The 21,450-nt window shown below is 37.3% G+C and overlaps 1 protein-coding gene across 76 annotated transcripts in view; it reads left to right on the top strand.

The window, feature by feature from the left end:
• Positions 1–21,450, top strand: part of MEF2C (myocyte enhancer factor 2C) — a 186,989-nt gene that overhangs the window by 96,108 nt on the left and 69,431 nt on the right. For all 76 annotated transcript variants that reach the window (XM_011543396.4, XM_017009478.3, XM_047417190.1 and 73 more), the window contains one exon: positions 3,197–3,400. In XM_011543396.4, coding sequence (XP_011541698.1) covers positions 3,197–3,400 — 204 coding nt within the window. The remainder of the gene's footprint in view (positions 1–3,196; positions 3,401–21,450) is intronic.

Below are 21,450 nucleotides of genomic sequence, written 5' to 3'. Positions count from 1 at the left end.
TTTTCAGAAGTACTTTAGAAAGACAATCAATAAAGATGAAATAGAAGGTGAAAAACACTGACAATTACAAGAAAGAAGAATTATCCAAGTTGAAATGTAAATAACGTAACTGAGTAAATATTGACTAGTTGATATGGGCTAGTAAATATCTAAATGCCTTATTTTCCAAACGATGGTCACTACAGCTTTATCTTTCTATCAGTCATAATAACATCTTCAAATAGCCATAACTGGTAGACTCTTCAAGTCACCAAGACAAGTATATTTTGCTAGTTCTTCTTTTTTGGTTAAGTCAACTAAGAAATTTGGGGGAACTAATATTTATTGAGCACCTACTCTAAGCATTATACTCAATACTATACACACATTATTGGATACAATCCTCACAACAGCCTTAAGAGTAGGTATAAATCTCTGTTTTACAAATGTGAAAAATCAAACTCAAAGAACTTTATTTAAAGTGAGGCGAGGCACGGTGGCTTATGCCTGTAATCCTAGCACTTTGAAAGGCTTAAGCGGGAGGATCGCTTGAGCTCAGAAGTTTGAGAACAGCCTGGGTAACATAGGGAAACCTCGTTTCTAGTAAAAATAAATACAAACAAAGATAAAGCCAGAACATGTTGGTGCACGCCTGTAGTACCAGCTACTCCGGAGGTTGAGGCGGGAGGATGGTTTGACCCTGGAAAGTGGAGGCTGCAGTTAGCTATTCTAGTACCGCTACACTCCAGCCTAGGAGACGGGGAGACCCTGTCTCAAAAAACAAACAAACAAAAGAGAAGTTGTTAAGTGAATTTCGCATGACTAGCAAATTCGGCATTCAAATTCAGAGTTCTCTAAATACAAACCCTATGTTCTTTGCTTTCTACCATACTACCTTCAATGTCATATGATAAAATAGTGTAATTATTATTAAGTAAGGAATATATGTATTGTTAAAACATTTTGCATATGAGTTGTTAAAAAAATTTCATGGGAAAATTTATCACATATATACATACATCAATTGTATCTTTCTGAAGATTTCACATAGTAGCTTCCCCTATCAATTTTTATACCATGGATTTTTACCATGTGCCCACACATGTCTACTGGTCTAAGCACTGGGGATAAAGTAGTGAGCAAAATAAAAACGGCATATACCCTTGTGGAGCATGCGCTGTAGTGGAAGAGAGGTTAAACAGATCACACAGGAAAATATAAACAGTTTTGTATTTTTTATTTTGCATATTTTATATACAAAATATATTTTGCATATTTTTGTATATATTTGGTATATTTTTGTGTATATTTTGTATATTTGAAAATATAAAATGTGATTGTAACATGAAGGAAAAATAAAAGGTGATAAGTAAAACAATAATTAACAAAATGTGGAGGAATGAGGAGACTGGGAGGTCAGGCTTTCTGTCTGCTAGTCCACAGTCCTTGTCAACATAAATCTATTTAGTTGTGGGGGAGGGTGGGGAGTGGGAGAAGGTGGCAGGCCAGGATTCAGAGTTCTCTCTGAGGTTTCTAGTTTGGATGACTGAGTTTATGGTGAGATGGGGATTCCAAAAGGGGCTGCAGATTCTAGACTGAAGATAATGAGGTTGAACTTTGGAAGGTTTGAGAATCCAGGATGTTTAGACAGGTGTGGAACTGGAGGACATGCATTGGGTGTCTGGAGACAAAGAGAAAGATGAAGGGTAGGAATATGCAATTAGGAATTACACACAAATCTGTGATAAAATGAGCTGGCCTCTCTGCAAGGTGGGTTGGATTTGAAGGTATGAAAAAAGTTTAAATGATTCATTCTGAAAACAGTAGCTTAATTAAGTAAATTAGCTTTTCCCAGAATATGTGCCTCAAAAACCTAGTTCTGAAGAGTGATAGTAAGTGCTCCTCAAAATAAATAAATATGCAAAGAAACAAACGATATGTCAGCAATAGGTTCGAAAAGCAAGTTAAACAAAGTTTAAAAGGTTTCATAGCCTTTCATATACCAATGTGCCTCTTTTTCCAAACATATTAGGCCACTGAACTTTTTTCTTAAGGAGTATTTTATAGGAACAGTACTCTACAGAATGAATACCTGTTGGGAAACAGGTATTCATTCTGTAGATGGGAAACACTGGACCATATAAAGGTTTATAAGAGACTCCGTCTCCAAAAAAAAAAAAAAAAAAAAAAAAAAAGAATGTTCACGCCTTTTCAGTAGCCAGACTGGAGCAACAAGCTGAAGTTCAATTAAAAGAGAGTTGAAATTGGGAAGAGTGAAATGTATTTTTGCATTTGGTAGGATTGGCAGGTAGGAAGTTTTCAAAGCCAGGGAGAGGGAGCTGTTGTAGGCAGCTCATCAGGAAAAAGACAGTAGGAAGAGTGAGGCTTTGCAGTTTGAGTTAAATTGAGGAAGGAATGATTCCAGGCAGGGAGATCATCGAGGACAGGAAGCTGCTAGGCTGTCCAAAATTGAAGTGATAAGGACATCAGTGATAGAGTTGCCTGGGAAATAGTGTGAACCTGAGAAATATTTTGAGGAAAGGAATTATGGGTCTTGGTAATAGATTAGATTAAAAGAAGAAAATGGTGGCATTAACAATACAGTTTCTGACCTGAGAGAAGAAGAAAGATACACAGAAGAATGAAACCAAAACCCTAAGCATATGATGGCTAACGGACTTCCCAGTGCCCTGTTGGGTTTCTAGAAAACAGAATACAACATCGTCTGAGATCACAGTCATATCCCTTCAAGTGTTTTCAATTAAATGACATGAGACTAGACAATTTTAAGACTTGTTTGAACACAGATCTAAAATGCTAAGTTCCTAATGTCATGTCCACTCTTCAAATAGTCAAAAACAAGCTCCAAACTAATTATTAATTGGGAAATATGCTAACCATGCTGAAATTAATTTTTTTTTAAATCTTAACTTGCTCAAAGAAACATGACCAGTTCCCTGGTCACCTTCATTAAAATACCCTACATTAAATCTTGCATTTAGAGTCTCACATTCAGCAGCAAGCTAGAAATCACACATTTTCAAATGATAAGCAGAAATTAATATTAGATTTATTTGCTTTCTTTCTGAATGTGTTAGTGCCCAGGGCTCTGACAACTACACACCATTGTTTTGTGAAGGAAAAGAAAAAAGAAAAGAAAAAAACCACACATGCATGAATATTTTTTAAAAAATCTTGGCTGCTTTCTTTTTTCTAGGTGACATTTACAAAGAGGAAATTTGGGTTGATGAAGAAGGCTTATGAGCTGAGCGTGCTGTGTGACTGTGAGATTGCGCTGATCATCTTCAACAGCACCAACAAGCTGTTCCAGTATGCCAGCACCGACATGGACAAAGTGCTTCTCAAGTACACGGAGTACAACGAGCCGCATGAGAGCCGGACAAACTCAGACATCGTGGAGGTGAGAGAGCATGCGTGGTGAGCCCCAAGCCTCCGCAAGCAGGGGAGTTTGGACCTCCCCCTGCCACACACACATACACACATCATGTTCTTTTTCTTAAGATGTTCATAGTCCCATAGATAGACCCAGGATTATTATCTATCGCAACTCTTACTCCACCTTTTCTCTCCCCTTCAAAAGTTAGAGTGATGTGATGATAGAGACCATGTAAGATCTGGTCTTTGCTAGAAATCAAGTACCAGTGTCAAACTATTTGCTTCATCTTTGGCAAGTGGTCATTGTCCACAGCTGTGTATCAGGACACCATGGTTGGGAACTCTTGCCAGGGAATAGCTCATCCATATTTTAGACACTTCTGATCATTTATTTTAGGTATATAATAGTTTCCCGGCATCATCAAAGAAAAAACGTATTTAAAAATGAACTCACCCCAACCTTACACTTTCAGTTTTTCGATTTATGTCTCTTCTTTGTAACTCATTATTCTGAATGCTTTCTTGCTGGAAGAGTAAAGGCAATTATTCTCCTAGAAATGTTTTTTCCTAAAAATTATATCATTATATATATCAATGAAAACTGTTAATATACATGGAATCAGAAATCAGATGAAAATGAATTTCTAAATGTTAGCTCAGTGTTTAATCAATGTCAGATTTAAAAAATTGTTTTATTGTGCCCAAAATAAATAAGCATGATGCTGAAAGTCAAAAATGTTTTAGATGTGTTAGCATAAGTAACATACCATACAGTTTTGGCTGGAACATTTTTTTTCCCATTTTATTTTATTTTATTTTATTTTTATTATACATTAAGTTTTAGGGTACATGTGCACATTGTGCAGGTTAGTTACATTGGCTGGAACATTTTAAACCTTTTCAGCATCGATCCTATTTAAATACTTTGTAGTACCCTTCATGAGCAATGATTAAGACTACAAAACAAAGGAAGAGGTATAATAAGGATGGTTCCCATCTGCCTATTTTCTTAATCTATTTGTCTACTCTGGCTTCCCTAGATTGTGCCTGCTTTCTCAGAATGAAAAGAAAATTAATAAGTGTTTCAAAAGTATGTACTCAAGAGCCAGTTTGCCAGAGTACACGTCATTCTTGCCATTGCTTAGACTGGTTCCACATTGTAAAAAAATGTAGTGCTAATCCTGATCAAATGAATATGCCTCCCACATCCATCTCCCTTTTACCTGTTACAATTGTCTAAGACTAATTCTCATTTCTTTGTTTTTATTTGAAAGTTTTTCAAAAGTATTGAGCTGATTATTATATTTTATTTTTGCCTTAACGAGGCCAAGGAAATAATTTCAGAGAAACAAAAGTGAATGATAAATAGACCTAGGGTGATATGTGCTTAAAATACTATGCATTATTTTAGTTTTTCATTGATAATTTGAATTGTGTGCTTGCCTTGATCTTGAAATTTAGGATCACTGATAAAATTTACCTATGCATTTCAGATAGTTTTTTATTTGCATATAAATATGAAAGTACAAAAATATGAAGGTGAACACTGCTTGTGTGTGTGCACTAATACTTATGTAAAATAAATTCAGAAAACAAAACAACTATTTACTAAAAACTCCATCTCATTACTAAAACCATTATAACAAAAGTCAGGGTAACAAAAGAATTTGAGTTGGAATTTATCATTACACTGGAACTGCTAGTCCTTAATGTCATGTGAAATGCTGTAGATCCATAATGAGCCAATTGGAAAATATGTTGACTTCTAAAATTTGCTTTCTTAAAGGAGTTTAAAACCTAGAACATTCATCTTCTGAGGGTTTTTCTTAGGAATATATTATATGACTTGAAGGCAACTTAAAACTTCATATATTGGCCAGGTGTGGTGGCTCACACCTATAATGCCAACACTTTGGGAGGCCTAGGTGGGCAGATTGCCTGAGCTCAGGAGTTTGAGAGCAGCCTGGGTAACATGGCAAAACTCCGTCTCTGCAAAAAAAATACAAAAATTAGCCAGGCATGGTGGCACACATGTGTGGTCCCAGCTACCTGGGGGGCTGAAGGGGGAAGATGGCTTGAGCCTGAGAGGTCAAGGCCTCAGTGAGCCTAGATTGTGCCTCTGCACTCCAGCCTGAGTGACAGAGCAAGACCCTGTCTGTTTAACAACAACAACAACAAAAAAACCCACTTCATATATTGTATGAAAACTTCATATTTTTTGATAGGTGGATATTTGAAAGTCAGACTTCTTTAAATGCCACAAAAACAGCACTGGGTTAAGAGTCATTGTTTTTCATTTGAATCCTTGTCTTGCACTTTTGTGCAGTGTGGTGAGTTGGGTACCTCTCTGGGCTGACGTTTTCTCATCTCAAAAATGAAGGCATTGGATTTGAAAGTGCTTTTGCAAGATTATAATTTTTAAAAAAGCAATACTTGTAAAACAGGAGTAAAGAACCAGTTCCATTTTCTTGTTAACATCAATAGATTAAATCTCTGAATCTCTCAAAAAGACACTTCGAGGCTTTTGGGCCAAATCTAGAGATTGGATGGCTCAATTATTTGGATGAACATAACATGTAAGTCTAACACATTGTGGGTCCGTCCTGTTCAACTCCCTGAATTATGCATTCTTCACATATTTGGCTTTTCCACATTTTAGTAATAACAGAGATCATGGAAAAAGAAGTAAGATGGGACCGCTAAGCTTGATAAAATTTACATCATCTTCACATGGAATATTTTTCAAAGTGCTGCATCACTGAAATTAGGATACTTGAGACACTTGGTGAAGAGGGAATCTGGATTGGAAGTTGCATTTATAAAAAGTTCCCCAAGTAGGCCAGGCACGGTGACTCACACCTGTAATCCCAGTACTTTGGGAGGCCAAGGCAGGCGCATCATGAGGTCAGGAGATCAAGATCATCGGGGCTAACATGGTGAAACCCCGTCTCTACTAAAAATCCAAAAAATTAGCCGAGCGTGGTGGAGGGGGCCTGTAGTCCCAGTTACTCGAGAGGCAGGAGAATGGCCTGAACACGGGAGGGAGAGCTTGCAGCAAGCCGAGATCGCGCCACTGCACTCTGGCGCAGGCGACAGGGTGAGACTCCGTCTCAAAAAAAAAAAAAAAAGTTCCCAAGTAATTCTTAGACACACTAAATTTGAAAACCTCTGCAGCACTAGTACATAAATTGTGCTGGAGGCAAAGACCTATGATACATCAGGGATTTGAATTCGTTCTTAGAATGGATCTACCATAAAGTCAAAAGTTAAGATTGTTTACTGCTCCTGGGTAAAATTTTAAATCCTATTTATTTTAATTTAATGGAATACATTTAACTGAATAAGTTTAATGAGGAGCATAATATGTTTCATGAAGGGTCATTAGTTTTATATTTCCCATTTGGACCATTACCCCTCTTCCTTAACCCTCTAAAAACAGTTTACTCACAAGAAGAAAAGGTATCGGGAGAGATAGAAATAATATAATTTCCAGCCTTTACACAGAAATACAAATTTCTGGGCCATACCAGAGTAGTGCTACAGGGTCATAGGAAATTGTGCAGTGCGTGGGTGTTGAAAAAGATTCCTTCTTTTAGCAAAAAAGCTCTGCGTAATTATCATGTCTTTGCTTGATAATTAGCACTACTCCAACAATGGCACAAAGACTCACAAAGGCTTAACAGACAGACTGAGATCAGTTTTTTTATGATTATATTATAATGCAGCTTGAATATCTGTTTAGATACAATATATAAATATGCCAGATTTAGTAAATGTGTTAAATTTTTAATCCATTGGTTAAAAAAACAAAAACAGTTATTGTATTAAAAGCACTTCCTTTGAAGGAAGTCCATTTTACTTAACTCTGTGACAAGTATACTGGGATATTTACCCAAAACGCTAGCTTGTCAGACTGTTGAAATTCAGTTCGGATGGCATTAAGGAACTGCCCCCTTCACTGCTTGTTCACTAGCTCCACTCCTCGTTCTCTTAGCTGTCTAAGACAGCAAACCCTACCAGTTTATGTTGGGCTCTGTTCCTGGAAGAAGATGTGGTTGTTGAGTACTTCAGGATGATCTGAAGATGCAGATCCCACAGGACATGCTTACAGCCCATTGCTTCATTTAGCAATGATTTAGCAAGCTCCACTCATGCTCAGCACTGTGGAAGAGACTCTGAAACAGCAGGAGACAGGCATTCTTGTTAAGGATGTAAAACATATATGCAAAAAATCAGCTTGGGAACAATTGGACGGCAAAGGAACAATAACCTCATTAATGCAGTATAAGCTGCTGAAATGAAGGTGTAGGCTAAACAATTCAACAGAACTCATTCAGCCAGGTCATGTGTTTTTCCAGAGCATTCCAAGTGATCCTTGGAGTGACAGGACTCCCAGACAGGTTACCTCCATATCCAGCACGTTTTGTAACCACAAAATCCTTATGGGAGTATCACTTAGCACCCAGCCAGGAAGGAATCTCTCATCCCCTCAGTGAACTCAGTGATTCTAATGAGCTACTCATTCAGTCTGGGCCCACAGTCCAGTGATTAAGTGTGGAAGGGGAATAAAACACAAGGCCCTTTGCTGCTCTCTAGGAAATTCAGAGATGGATGTAACTCCTGCAGAAGAAACCTTTGATTCACAACTGTCTCAGTAGAGGATTATTGGTTTTTCTTTTTAGAGGAAGAACATGTGTGTCTCTCTCTCTGTGTGTGTGTGTGTGTGTGTGTGTGTGTGTGTGTGTGTGTGTGAGAGAGAGAGAGAGAGAGAGAAGGAAAGGGACATAGGGAGATGGAGAGAAGATGAGAGATGAGAGATTATATTTACCTGATATTTTATTATTTTGGAAATTTTATTTGCTGTCACCTGAATCCTGACTTCTGTTTTGATTTAGAGACATCTAAGAACAGTTGCTGCAGCAAAATGTTTTCTGCACAGTAATAATTAAGGCCTAAATTGGGATGGGAAAAGCCTTAAAATAGTTTATAACTTGTATAGCTTCACAATGGTGATGAAAGTTATCAACGAGCTAAGTGCTCTTACATAGTTTAGTGAAAATACTAAATACAATTTTTGTTGAAAAGCAAATGCAGCAAATAGCGAAATTGGACTTCTTTACAAACTCAGTATCACAAAATTTGGAAATGGATGTAAATGTGAAAATATGTCTACTTTACTTGACCATTCATTATATCTAATTAGCTTCTAATTTTATACTTATAAAAATATAGATGTAAAGCCACTGTAGCCAGACTGCCTCTCTAGATTCCTCCTCTCTGGGCAGAGCATCTCTGAAAGAAAGGAAGCAGCCCCAGTCAGGGGCTTATAGATAAAACTCCCATCTCCCTGGGACAGAGCACCTAGGGGAAGGGGCAGCTGTGGGCGCAGCTTCAGCAGACTTAAATGTTCTGGCCTGCTGGCTCTAAAGAGAGCAGCGGATCTCCCAGCACAGTACTTGAGCTCTGCTGAGGGACAGACTGCTTCCTCAAGTGGGTCCCTGACCCCCCGTGCCTCCTGACTAGGAGACACTTCCCAGCAGGGGTCGACAGACACCTCATACGAGAGAGCTCCGGCTGGCAACTGGTGGGTGCCACTCTGGGACGAAGCTTCCAGAGGAAGGAACAGGCAGCAATCTTTGCTGTTCTCCAGCCTCTGCTGGTGTTAACCCAGGCAAATGGTCTGAAGTAGACCTCCAGCAAACTCCAGCAGACCTGCAGCAGAGGTGCCTGACTGTTAAAAGGAAAACTAACAAACAGAAAGGAATAGCATCAACATCAACAAAAAGGATGTCTGCACCAAAACCCCATCCAAAGGTCACCAGCATCAAAGACCAAAGGTAGATAAATCCATGAAGATGAGGAAAAACCAGTGCAAAAAGGCTGAAAATTCCAAAAACCAGAATGCCTCTTCTCCTCCAAAGGATCACAACTCCTCTCCAGCAAGGGAACATAACTGGATGGAGAATGAGTTTGACAAATTGACAGAAATAGGCTTCAGAAGGTGGGTAATAACAAACTCCTCCGAGCTAAAGGAGCATGTTCTAACTCAATGCAAGGAAGCTAAGAAACTTGAAAAAAGGTTAAGGGAATTGCTAACTAGAATAACCAGTTTAGAGAAGAACATAAATGACCTGATAGAACTGAAAAACACAGCACAAGAACTTTGTTAAGCATACACGAGTATCAATACCCAAATCGATCAAGCGGAAGAAAGGATATAAGAGATTGAAAATCAAATTTAATGAAATAAAGCATGAAGACAAGATTAGAGAAAAAAGAATGAAAAGGAATGAACAAAGCCTCCAAGAAATATGGGGCTATGTGGAAAGACAAAACCTACATTTGATTGGTGTACCTAAAAGTGATGGGGAGAATGGAACCAAGTTGGAAAACACTTCAGGATATTATCCAGGAGAACTTCCCCAACCTAGCAAGACAGGCCAACATTCAAATTCAGTAAATACAGAGAACACCACAAGATACTCCTCAAAAAGAGCAACCCCAAGACACAATCAGATTCACCAAGGTTGGAATGAAGGAAAAAATATTAAGGGCAGCCAGAGAGAAAGGTCGAGCTACCCACAAAGGGAAGCCCATCAGTCTAACAGCAGATCTCTCTACAGAAACCCTACAAGCCAGAAGAGAATGGGGGCCAATATTCAACATTCTTAAAGAAAAGAATTTTCAACCCAGAATTTCATATCCAGCCAAACTAAGCTTCATAAGTGAAGGAGAAATAAAATCCTTTACAGACAAGCGAATACTGAGAGATTTTGTCACCACTAGGCCTGCCTTACAAGGGCTCCTAAAGGAAGCACTAAATATGGAAAGGAAAAACTGGTAACAGCCACTGCAAAAACATATCAAATTGTAAAGACCATTGACACTATGAAGAAACTGCATCAACTAACGGGCAAAATAACCAGCTGGCATGATAATGACAGGATCAACTTCACACATAACAATATTAACCTTAAATGTAAATGGGCTAAATGCCCCAATTAAAAGACACAGACTGGCAAATTGGATAGAGTCAAGACCCATCTGTGTGCTGTATTCAGGAGACCCATGTCGCGTACAAAGACACACATAGGCTCAAAATAAAGGGATGGATGAATATTTACCAAGCAAATGGAAAGCAAAAAAAAAAAAAAAAAAAAAAAAAAAGGCAAGGGTTGCAATCCTAGTCTGTGATAAAACAGACTTTAAACCAACAAAGATAAAAAAAGACTCAAGAAGGGCATTACATAATGGTAAAGGGATCAATGCAACAAGAAGAGCTAACTATCTTAAATATATAGGCACCCAATACAGGAGCACCCAGATTCATAAAGCAAGTCCTTAAAGACCTAAAAAGAGACTTAGATTCCCACACAATAATAGTCGGAGACTTTAACACCCCACTGTCAATATTAGACAGAACAGCGAGACAGAAAATTAACAAGGATATTCAGGGCTTGAACTCAGCTCTGGACCAAGCTGACTTAATAGACATCTACAGAACTCTCTACCCCAGATCAACGTTGGACTTCAGCATTCTTCTCAGCACCATATCACACTTATCCTAAAACTGACATAATTGGAAGTAAAACACTCTTCAGCAAATGCAAAAGAATGCAAATCATAACAAACAGTCTCTCAGACCACAATGCAATCAAATTAGAACTCAGGATTAAAAAACTCACTCAAAACCACACAACTACAGGGAACCTCAAGAACCTGCTCCTGAATGACTACTGGGTAAATAATGAAATTAAGGCAGAAATAAGTAAGTTCTTTGAAACCAATGAGAACAAAGACATAGTGTACCAGAATCTCAGAGACACAACTAAAGCAGTGTTTAGAGGAGGTGAATTTATAGCACTGAATGCCTACAGGACAAAGTGAGAAAGATCTAAAATTGACACCCTAACATCACAATTAAAAGAACTAGAGAAGCAAGAACAAACAAAAGCTGGCAGAAGACAAGAAATAACTAAGAGCCGAACTGAAGGAGATAGAGACACGAAAAACCCTTCAAAAAATCAGTGAATCTAGGAGCTGATTTTTTGAAAAGATTAACAAAATAGACTGCTAGCCAGACTTAATAAAAAAGAAGAGAGAGAAGAATCAGATGCAGTAAAAAATGATAAAGAAGATATTACCACTGATCACACAGAAATACAAACTACCATTAAAGAATACTATAAACACCTCTATGCAAATAAACTAGAAAATCTAAAAGAAATGAATAAATTCCTGGACACACACACCCTCCCAAGACAAAACCAGGAAGAAGTCAAATACTGAATAGACCAATAACAAGTGCTGAAATTGAGGCAGTAATTAATAGGCTACCAACCAAAAGAAGTCCAGGACCAGATGGATTCATAGCTGAATTCTACCAGAGGTACAAAGAGGAGCTGGTACCATTCCTTCTGAAACTATTCCAAATAATAAAAAAAGAGGGACTCCTCCCTAACCCATTTTATGAGGCCAGCATCATCCTGTTGCCAAAACCAGGCAGAGACACAACAAAAAAAGAAAATTTCAGACCAATATCCCTGATGAACATCGATGCAAAAATCCTCAATAAAATACTGGCAAACCGAATCCAGCAGCACATCAAAAGCTTATCCACCATGATCAAGTCAGCTTCATCCCTGGGATGCAAGGCTGGATCAACATGCACCAATCAAAAAATGTAATCCATCACATAAACAGAAACAATGACAAAAACCACACCATTATCTCAATAGATGCAGAAAAGGGCGTCGATAAAATTCAACACTCCTTCCTGCTAAAAACTCGCAATAAACTAGGTATTGATGGAATGTATCTCAAAATAATAAGAGCTATTTATGACAAACCCACAGCCAATATCATACTGAGTGGGCAAAAGCTGGAAGCATTCCCTTTGAAAACTGCACAAGACAGGGAGGCCCTCTCTCACCACTCCTATTCAACATAGTATTGGAAGTTCTGGCCAGGGCAATCAGGCAAGAGAAAGAAATAAAGGGTATTTAAATAGGAAAAGAAGAAGTCAACTTGCCTCTGTTTGCAGGTGACATGATTGCATATTTAGAAAACCCCATTGTCTCACCCCAAAATCTCCTTAAGCTGATAAGCAAATTCAGCAAAGTCTCAGGATACAAAATGAATGTGCAAAAATCACAAGCATTCCTATACACCAATAACAGATAAACAGAGAAATCATGAGTGAACTCCCATTCATAATTGCTACAAAGATAATAAAATACCTAGGATTACAACTTACAAGAGATGGGAAGGACCTCTTCAAGGAGAACTGCACACCACTGCCCAAAGAAATAAGAGAGGACACAAACAAACGGAAAAACACTCCATGCTCACGGATAGGAAGAATCTATATCGTGAAAATGGCCATACTGCCCAAAGTAATTTATAGATTCAGTGCTATCCCCATCAAGCTACCATTGACTTTCTTCATAGAATTAGAAAAAAACTACTTTAAATTTCATATGGAACCAAAAAAGAGCCCGTATAGCCAAGACAATGCTAAGCAAAAAGACCAAAGCTGAAGGCATCACGCTACCTGACTTCAAACTATACCACAAGGCTAAAGCAACCAAAACAGCATAATACTGGTACCAAAACAGTTATACAGACCAATGGAACAGAACAGAGGCCTCAGAAATAATGCCACACATCTACAACTATCTTATCTTTGACAAACCTGACAAAAACAAGTAATGGAGAAACGATTCTCTATTTAATAAATGGTGTTGGGAAAACTGGCTAGCCATATGTAAAAAGCTGAAACTGGACCCCTTCCTTACACCTTATACAAAAAAATAACTGTAGATGGATTAAAGACTTAAACGTAAGGCCTAAAACCATAAAAACCCTGGAAGAAAACCTAGGCAATACCATTCAGGCCATAGGCATGGGCAAAGACTTCATGACTAAAACACCAAAAGCAATGGCAACAAAAGCCAAAATTGACAAATGGGACCTAATTAAACTAAAGAGCTTCTGCACAGCAGAAGAAACGATCATCAGAGTGAACAGGCAACCCAAAGAATGGAAGAAAATTTGTGCAATCTATCCCTCTGACAAAGGGCTAATATCCAGAATCTATAAGGAGCTTAAACAGATTTACAGGAAAAAAACAACCCCATCAAAAAGTGGGCAAAGGATATGAACAGACACCTCTCAAAAGAAGACGTTCATGCAACCAACAAGCATATGAAAAAAAGCTAATCATCACTGGTCATTAGAGAAATGCAAATCAAAAGCACAATGAGATAACATCTCACACCAGTTAGAATGGTGATCATTAAAAAGTCAGGAAACAACAGATGCTGGAAAGGGTGTGGAGAAATAGGAACACTTTTACACTGTTGGTGGGACTGTAAACTAGTTCAACCATTGTGGAAGACAGTGTGGCGATTCCTCAGGGATCTAGAACCAGAAATACCATTTGACCCAGCCATACCATTTCTGGGTATATACCCAAAGGAGTATAAATCATGATGCTATAAAGACACATGCACATGTATGTTTATTGCGGCACTATTCACAATAGCAAAGACTTGGAACCAACCCAAATGTCCATCAATGATAGACTGGATAAAGAAAATGTGGCACATATACGCCATGGAATACTATGCAGCCATAAAAAAGGATGAGTTCATGTCCTTTGCAGGGACCTGGGTGAAGCTGGAAACCATCATTCTCAGCAAACTAACACAGGAACAGAAAACCAAACACCACATGTGCTCACTCATAAGTGGGAGTTGAACAATGAGAACACATGGACTCAGGGAGGGGAATATCACACAGCAGGGCCTGTCGTGGGGTGGGGGGCTAGGGGAGGGATAGCATTAGGAGAAATACCTAATGTAGATGACGGTTTTATGGGCGCAGCAAACCACCATGGCACGTGTATACTTATGTAACAAGTCTGCATGTTCTGCACACGTATCCCAGAACTTAAAGTAAATAAATATATATGTACAAAATTATTTTTATGTGCTATATAGATACATATTATACAAGGATACTTTTCTTAAGAGAAAAAAACAGATTCACTTACCTAATCATTTGCAGATTTTCCTTCTTTCAGTCATTGATTGAACAAAAATTTGTTGAATTCCTGCTCTGTGTTATATGCTATGAAATGCCTGGAGATACAGATATAACCAAGGTCCCTCAAGGACTCTCAGTCCTTAAGTTGGCTCACAAGGCCATGCATGATCTGATCCATGTATTTCTCTTACTCTTCAGCCTCACTTTTTGCAATTTCCCTGCCATTAACCTGCCCTTACAACCCCCATCCTATACTCAAGCCACATCGTACATACGTACATTCCTCAACCTCTCCAAGCTCTGTTTTGTCTTAAAATTCCTTACTGGATCTCTACTTGGCTGTTACTTATCCTTCACTCAAGTCAGGTCCCAATTACACTTTGGAAAGTCATCCTTGAAGCCCCCATAACTTAGGTTAGGTGCTTCCCCTGTATTACAGTCATCATGTGTTCTATCTTTCCCATCAGAGCACTGTTGAAGTTGTTATCCAATTGCCTGTCCCACACTAGATTCTAAACTCCCAAAGGGCAAGGGACTGTACACGTTTTGCTCACCATCATATTCCCAGTGCTTAACATGAGGTCTAGAGAAAGTTACCTCCTCAGAATATATTTATAGAATAAACAAACAGGAAAGACAGACATATAATCAAGTGATTATCATGTGGCATAACGTTGCACATTTAAAGTATGAAAAAATGTTTTTACAGTTCCAATGAAACAATTCATTAAATTTTGATAGAGTTTATCAAAGCACAATTTAAAAACACTCAAGTAATCTAGGTCCATACTCTCCAATATAGTAGCCAATAGGCTCATGAGACTATTTACATTTAAATGAATTAAAATTAAATAAAATGTCCAATTCAGTTCCTCAGTTGCATTAGTCATGTTTCAAGCATTCAGTAGTCATGTGTGGCTAGTGGCTACTGAATTAAACAGGGAAGATATACAACAGAATGCATTGATCATCACAGAAAGCTCTATGAGACAGCACTGGTCTAGACTGAAATATGAAGAGGGAGATATTTAAACAAATTGTGTTTTCAAATTAATACCAAAATTAATTCTTCAATATAAAATTTGAGGAGTCACTTCGGAAGTGAGTAACTGTGTACCTTGTGATTTTGGAATTCAGAGCATAAATGTTCACTTCGAGAGACTCTGATCTGGAACTAAACACTCACCATAAAACTAAAAGCACACTTTACCCCTAACCTATAACCACAGAGTCAATCAGTAAACTTATGATCTGGTCAGAAAGCACTTGCAAGTTGTCCAGGCTGACAGGGAACATTAACTGTGTGAGCTGGGTGAAGTATACTGTATTTTTTTTTAACTTGAAGCTTGTGAATGGAAAGATGATAGTTCTGTCTTATTACTATTTTTAATTTACTTGAAGCAACATTGGACCAGTATTTACCTATATAATTAGTAAATTAATTTCTCCAGAAAAGTATTTTTCATTATAAAAAAATTTAGAGAAATAGTATTCTTGAGATACATTACAAATCCTTCTTAGATTTACTATAAAACATAATTGATATAGATCTTACTGCTAGTGACTAAGTAAGTCTACCCTCCCCTCTGTTAAGCCAAGCATATAATTGCTTTTCAATACATGGTATTGAAAAATTAACAAAGTATTAGTATTTTCCATAAAGATTTAAACCTTCTATGTTGTGGCTTCTGAGGGAAAAGGGGAAAAAGATTTTGTTATTTAAAAAGTTTTTTATTTTCCTGAATTTTAATATAATTTTGTTTATATATCTTTAAAAGACTTTTATTAGTACCTGTAAATAATATTTTTACTTGTTCCCCAAAGTCTTAAAGAAGAAATGAGTCTAAAATTTTTTAAATGTATTCATATTTCTCATAACTATACCACAATGATTTGTATAGATCAAATTTGAAGAGCCATTTCTTTTTTAAAAATAATCTTCTTGCTTAATTTACATGTTTTATAAACACGAAGAGCTGCTTCACATCTCATTTATTAAGAAAATAATCATTGTTGAACAAATAGTAATGTGAGGCAATAAAACTGAGCTTCCTCTAGTCTCTGTTATTACACAGCTCTAATAGTTTGCAAGCATTAGTATGAACACAGTGAGCAGATAATTACTTAATAATAGTAGAAGCAGAAAAGACAGGGTTCAAAATATAGACTTTTATCAGTAATATAATTTCTTTATCAATATTAATCATTACCATTTTGTCATCATTATTATTTTACATGAACCTTCCTGAACTAGAGCAAAACAAAGATCTCATGTGATCTCTCTTCACCTGACTCCCACCATACCTGGAAATGAAAAGAGAAAAATATATAGCCTGGATGATAATTGTCAATTTTTAATGATATTTACAAATTTCATGGCATATGGAACTTGGTGGTAAGCAGCATATTTGAACCAAATGTTACATTCTAGCCATTGATATCATCTAAGTAAAACTAACATTGGCTCTAAAAGGTGCCGAATAAGAATCAAAGTGTAGAATATTCTTACTTCCTCAGGAAAAGTTACTGAATATATAGTCATGAAATATTCAAAAGTAAAGTTCTAAGAATGATTCTGAGGCTTGCCTAGAAGCAGAATTCTAAGATGATGGCTCTTTTCATTAAGGAGTGTTTATTTTAATTTCTTCACCCCACTGTTGGTTTTGGGGGGTTTGTTTTTGTTTTGTCTAATTACAAATCCCTCTCCTTTCCCTGAAGGGCATGACGAAGCTTTGTTCATCTCTGTACCTCCAGCTGCCAGCTCAATGCCTAGCATATTGTGGACATTCAATATATATCAACTTACTGATGATCATTAGCATAAATAAAATTTTTAAATATACAATTTTTTCTTTGGTGAGATCCGATGTGTTCTAATAATAAAAGTGAGAATCTTTCAAGTCAGCTAGAGTGAGTAAATGTTGTTTTGCATCAAAAATAAATAAATAATTAAATTACAAGGCACAGGAAACCAAGTAAAAGTATTGCTTGTGGTGCTGGTGGAAAGGAAAGGACTTCCAGACCAAGGTACAGTATTTTGATTACTGGAGAAGAGAGAAGAAACCTGTTAGTGCTTTGGCCAGTATTGGGTCAAATGAAATGCCTGTGGCCCAGTGTGAATCACCAGAGTATCTTGCTAAAATGCTGATTCTAACTCAGTGGGTATAGGGCAGGGCCCAGGATCCCTTTATTTCTGACCAGGTGATGCTGATGCTGCTGGAGTAGAAAGGATCTAGATTTCCTTTTCCAAACATGTATTTCCTTCTTCATGGAATTTGAAAGTGTGTCTGTAGACTATTTCCTCTTTGTAATTTTATGGAGGGTTAGAATCATGCTATAAAACAGGTTCTTACAACTGAAATTCTGTGAAACTAATTCTTGAAAGGAAGTGTCTTAGGTTTTTCTGGAAGTGTGATACATTCATAAAAGGCACATCACTACCCAGTGAGGTGGGACTCTGGCACATTTCACTCCTTAGTGTGTGCCCATCACTTTGTACTGGCTGCCTGGAGCACACAGTTAAGGAAGATGCTGAGTCCAAGTCCAGACATTCAGGAAGTGTGATGTGATTGGTTAGGGGCATGTGCCTTGGGTGCAGAGAGATAGTAGTACCCATAACTTTTTCATTATTTTCTTGGTCAAAATAATCAATAGGACATTCTGGGAAAAGACTTAATCAAAGTCAGTCATTAAAAGGACTGTAATTAGGTAAATGCTGCATATGTGTACAACAGATTAAGTAAATAGATTATATTATTGGAAATATACCCCATTTTATAGCTATTTGGCATATTATCCAGTCATGTCTCAATGGTGTTTAGTGTATTCTGCACTACTCTGAAATTTAACCACCTGGAAGAAGTTATGAATAAGAAAAAAAATTCTCTGTCAATTATTTCTAAAGGTCATAGAGTTAATGACTAGCTGGAAGGTTAATTAGATTCTGAAAACCTCTTCATATCAATTAAATCTCTTATCTTTATGTTTTAGTAAATAAACTGAATAACTATTTAGAGCTACTGTTCTAGGGTAAGAAACGTTGTAAACAGTAAAACTACACAATGGGTGTTTGGGTTTTTTCCTCACATTAAAAAAAAAAATAGTTATAGCAGGCATGGTGGCTCACACCTGTAATCCCAGCACTTTGGGAGGCTGAGACAGGAGGATTACTTGAGCCTAGGAGTTCAAGACCAGCCTGGGCAACATACAGAGACTCCAACTCTACAAAAATAAAAATAAATTAGCTGGATGTGGTGGTGCATACCTGTACTCCTAGCTACGCAGGAGACTGAGGTCAGAGAATCACCTGAGCATGAGAGGTTGAGGCTCCAGTGAGCTGTGATCATGCCACTGTACCCCAGCCTGAGTGACAGAGCAAGACTCTATCTCAAAAAAAAAAAAAGTATTACAAAAAAGTAGATATATGAATTAATAATAGTAACTTATTTTAATAATAGTAACTTATTTTATAATTTCTGAATTACTTTATTTTTCAAAAATAAAAGTGTGCATATTACTATTTAATCATAAACAAGTTCCATCACTATGATGTCAAGGAGGAAACCATTTCATAGAAAAATAGACCAAAGTTACCCTATGCATGAGCTACTACTAATCTAAAGCCAACTTCACTCTCAGTTATTTCAATAGGACATAAGTTTATTGATTGACTCTGTGGTTAGTTCCAGAAACCCAACCCCTTTGAAAGTTACTGTACACATTTGTAAATAAATGGTATATTTAGCACCTATACTATGACAATTATAAACTCATTTGTGTCATGTAAATTTTCTTTGGATAATATAACCAGACTTCAGATGAAAAGACATAGATCTGCATTAATCTGTAAGGTAGCCTAGCCACATGTGGCTATACAAATATAAATATAATTTAAATTACATAAAATTAAAAGTTCAGCTTTTCAGTCTCACTATCCACATTTCAAGCAAGATGTGACTAGTGGCTCCCAAATATAATTGTCCATTATGAAAGAAACCCTCTGTTGGACAGTAAATGACGAAACTGGTGCATCTAGTGTTCTCTTTCATTCAAATAACTGGCATGGGCTGGCCGAGGTGGCTCATGCCTGTAATCCCAGCACTTTGGGAGGCCGAGGCAGGCGGATCATTTGAAGTCAGGAGTTCAAGACCAGCCTGGCCTACATGGTGAAACCTCATCTCTACTAAAAATACAAAAAAAAAAAAAATTAGCCAGGCGTGATGGCACACGCTTGTAATCCCAGCTACTCGGGAGGATGAAGCAGGAGAATTGCTTGAGCCCGGGAGGCGGAGGTTGCAGTAAACTGAGATTGTGCCACTGCACTCCAGCACTCCAGCCTGGGTGACAGAGCGAGACACAGTCTCTAAATAAATAAATAAATAAATAAATAAATAAACAAACAAACAAACTGGCATGATGGTTAATAGATACAGCCCAATAAAGGATATGTAAACTGGAGAGGTTGCACCTGGCTACTTCACCTTCCATTCCTGCAGCAGGCATTTATGACATGCCCACTGTGCGTCAGTCAGGACCTGAGCCAGGGCAGAGAAATCCAACCAGGAAAGTTGAATCACTCAGTTGGCATTTACTCCAAGGAACAGAATATTTGTTAAAGTCTATGTGATTTTGTGGAGAAAGACGAGAAAATGGAGGGATCACTGAAGCTGGAATTGCCCTGAGGAAGAAGAGAAAATGGAAAAGGCACAGGAAAAATGAGTAGTAAGAACGTAGAAATAAGCTAGGTCCCTTGTGAACTTTTCCAACAGGAAAGAAAAGATCATGCGTGCACACGGTTTCTTCTGATTTTTCTTAATTAGTATGTGCGGAATTTTATCTTCATCCAGACTCCATGATTGGTTTTCCTTAACTGTAGTTGTTCTGAATTAATTTCATGTGGGGGAAAAATAAAGCTACAAAGTGATTTTTCTAAAGAATATTGTTGAAGCATTGTTATGAGAGTTCATCTTTCAAATTTTACTTCTAGGATATAGGACTTTAAAAGCTCCACAAATTTGAAGGAAAGATGGAGATTAAAAATTCAGTTCCAGTTACAGCAACATCACACACTCTCATTCTCTAACGGAGGGCGAGTTATGTAACCTTGCTGGGCTTTAGGTTCCTCATGAGTTAATGCTGTCTACCCTGAGCTCCTTACGGGGCTGTCATGAGGATTGCAGGTTATAACAGCTGTCAGAGCCCATTGTCAACCCTTAAGTTTTAAAAAATTAGTTTTATTTTCAAAGTCAAGAGAAAAAGTTCAGAGAAGAAAAAATGCTAACCAAAAGAAAGACAAAAATTCTTAATTTACGACTGCATAGTTTATGCTAATAAGTGTATTATTTATAAGTAAATATTGAATGATTATATAAATAACTGTAGCATTTTACATAAATTAAGAAGATCTAACAAAGGTCAACGAATTGATTTTTTTTTTCTTTTCCACAAGTATTTATTAAGTGTATGTGCAAAGTATGGTGTTCACGGCCCTCCAGGGCCAGTAGCAGTCCATGGTGGACAGAATATACACAGTATTTGTTCTCTCATTCAGTAGATATTGATGGACATGAAGATCATTTGCTAAGCATTCTGCCAGTTACTGGTGATGCATCTGTGATTATGATACCCAATTATCTGAACCATAATAAGATATAGACAAAGTACAGTGGGCTAACAGAGGAGAAGGAAAGCAGTTACAACTGTGAGCACCTGAAAAATCTTACTGTAGATTTCAGATGAAGGCATGGCCTTGAATAAGTAGAATAATTTGATATGCTAAGCCAATCTGAGAACCATTTTTCCCATTTAAACTAAAAGTGAGACTAATAAATGTAGTGATATATGGACATTAAATGCATATATGTATATATATACACACATATATGTAGTATGTATATGTAGCAGCCTTTATTTTTTGTTTTCTGTTAGCACTGGATTTTTTAATGTATGGTTTTTCTATAAACAGATGGTTATAATTTCTAGAGAAATTCCATAGAACACAAATGTTAGAAAAATGCAGTGAATTTC

Source organism: Homo sapiens, chromosome 5 (genome assembly GCF_000001405.40).
Source record: "Homo sapiens chromosome 5, GRCh38.p14 Primary Assembly".
NCBI lineage: Eukaryota > Metazoa > Chordata > Mammalia > Primates > Hominidae > Homo > Homo sapiens.
The sequence above is the reverse complement of the archived record's forward strand: the minus strand, read 5'-3'. Positions and strand labels throughout refer to the sequence as shown.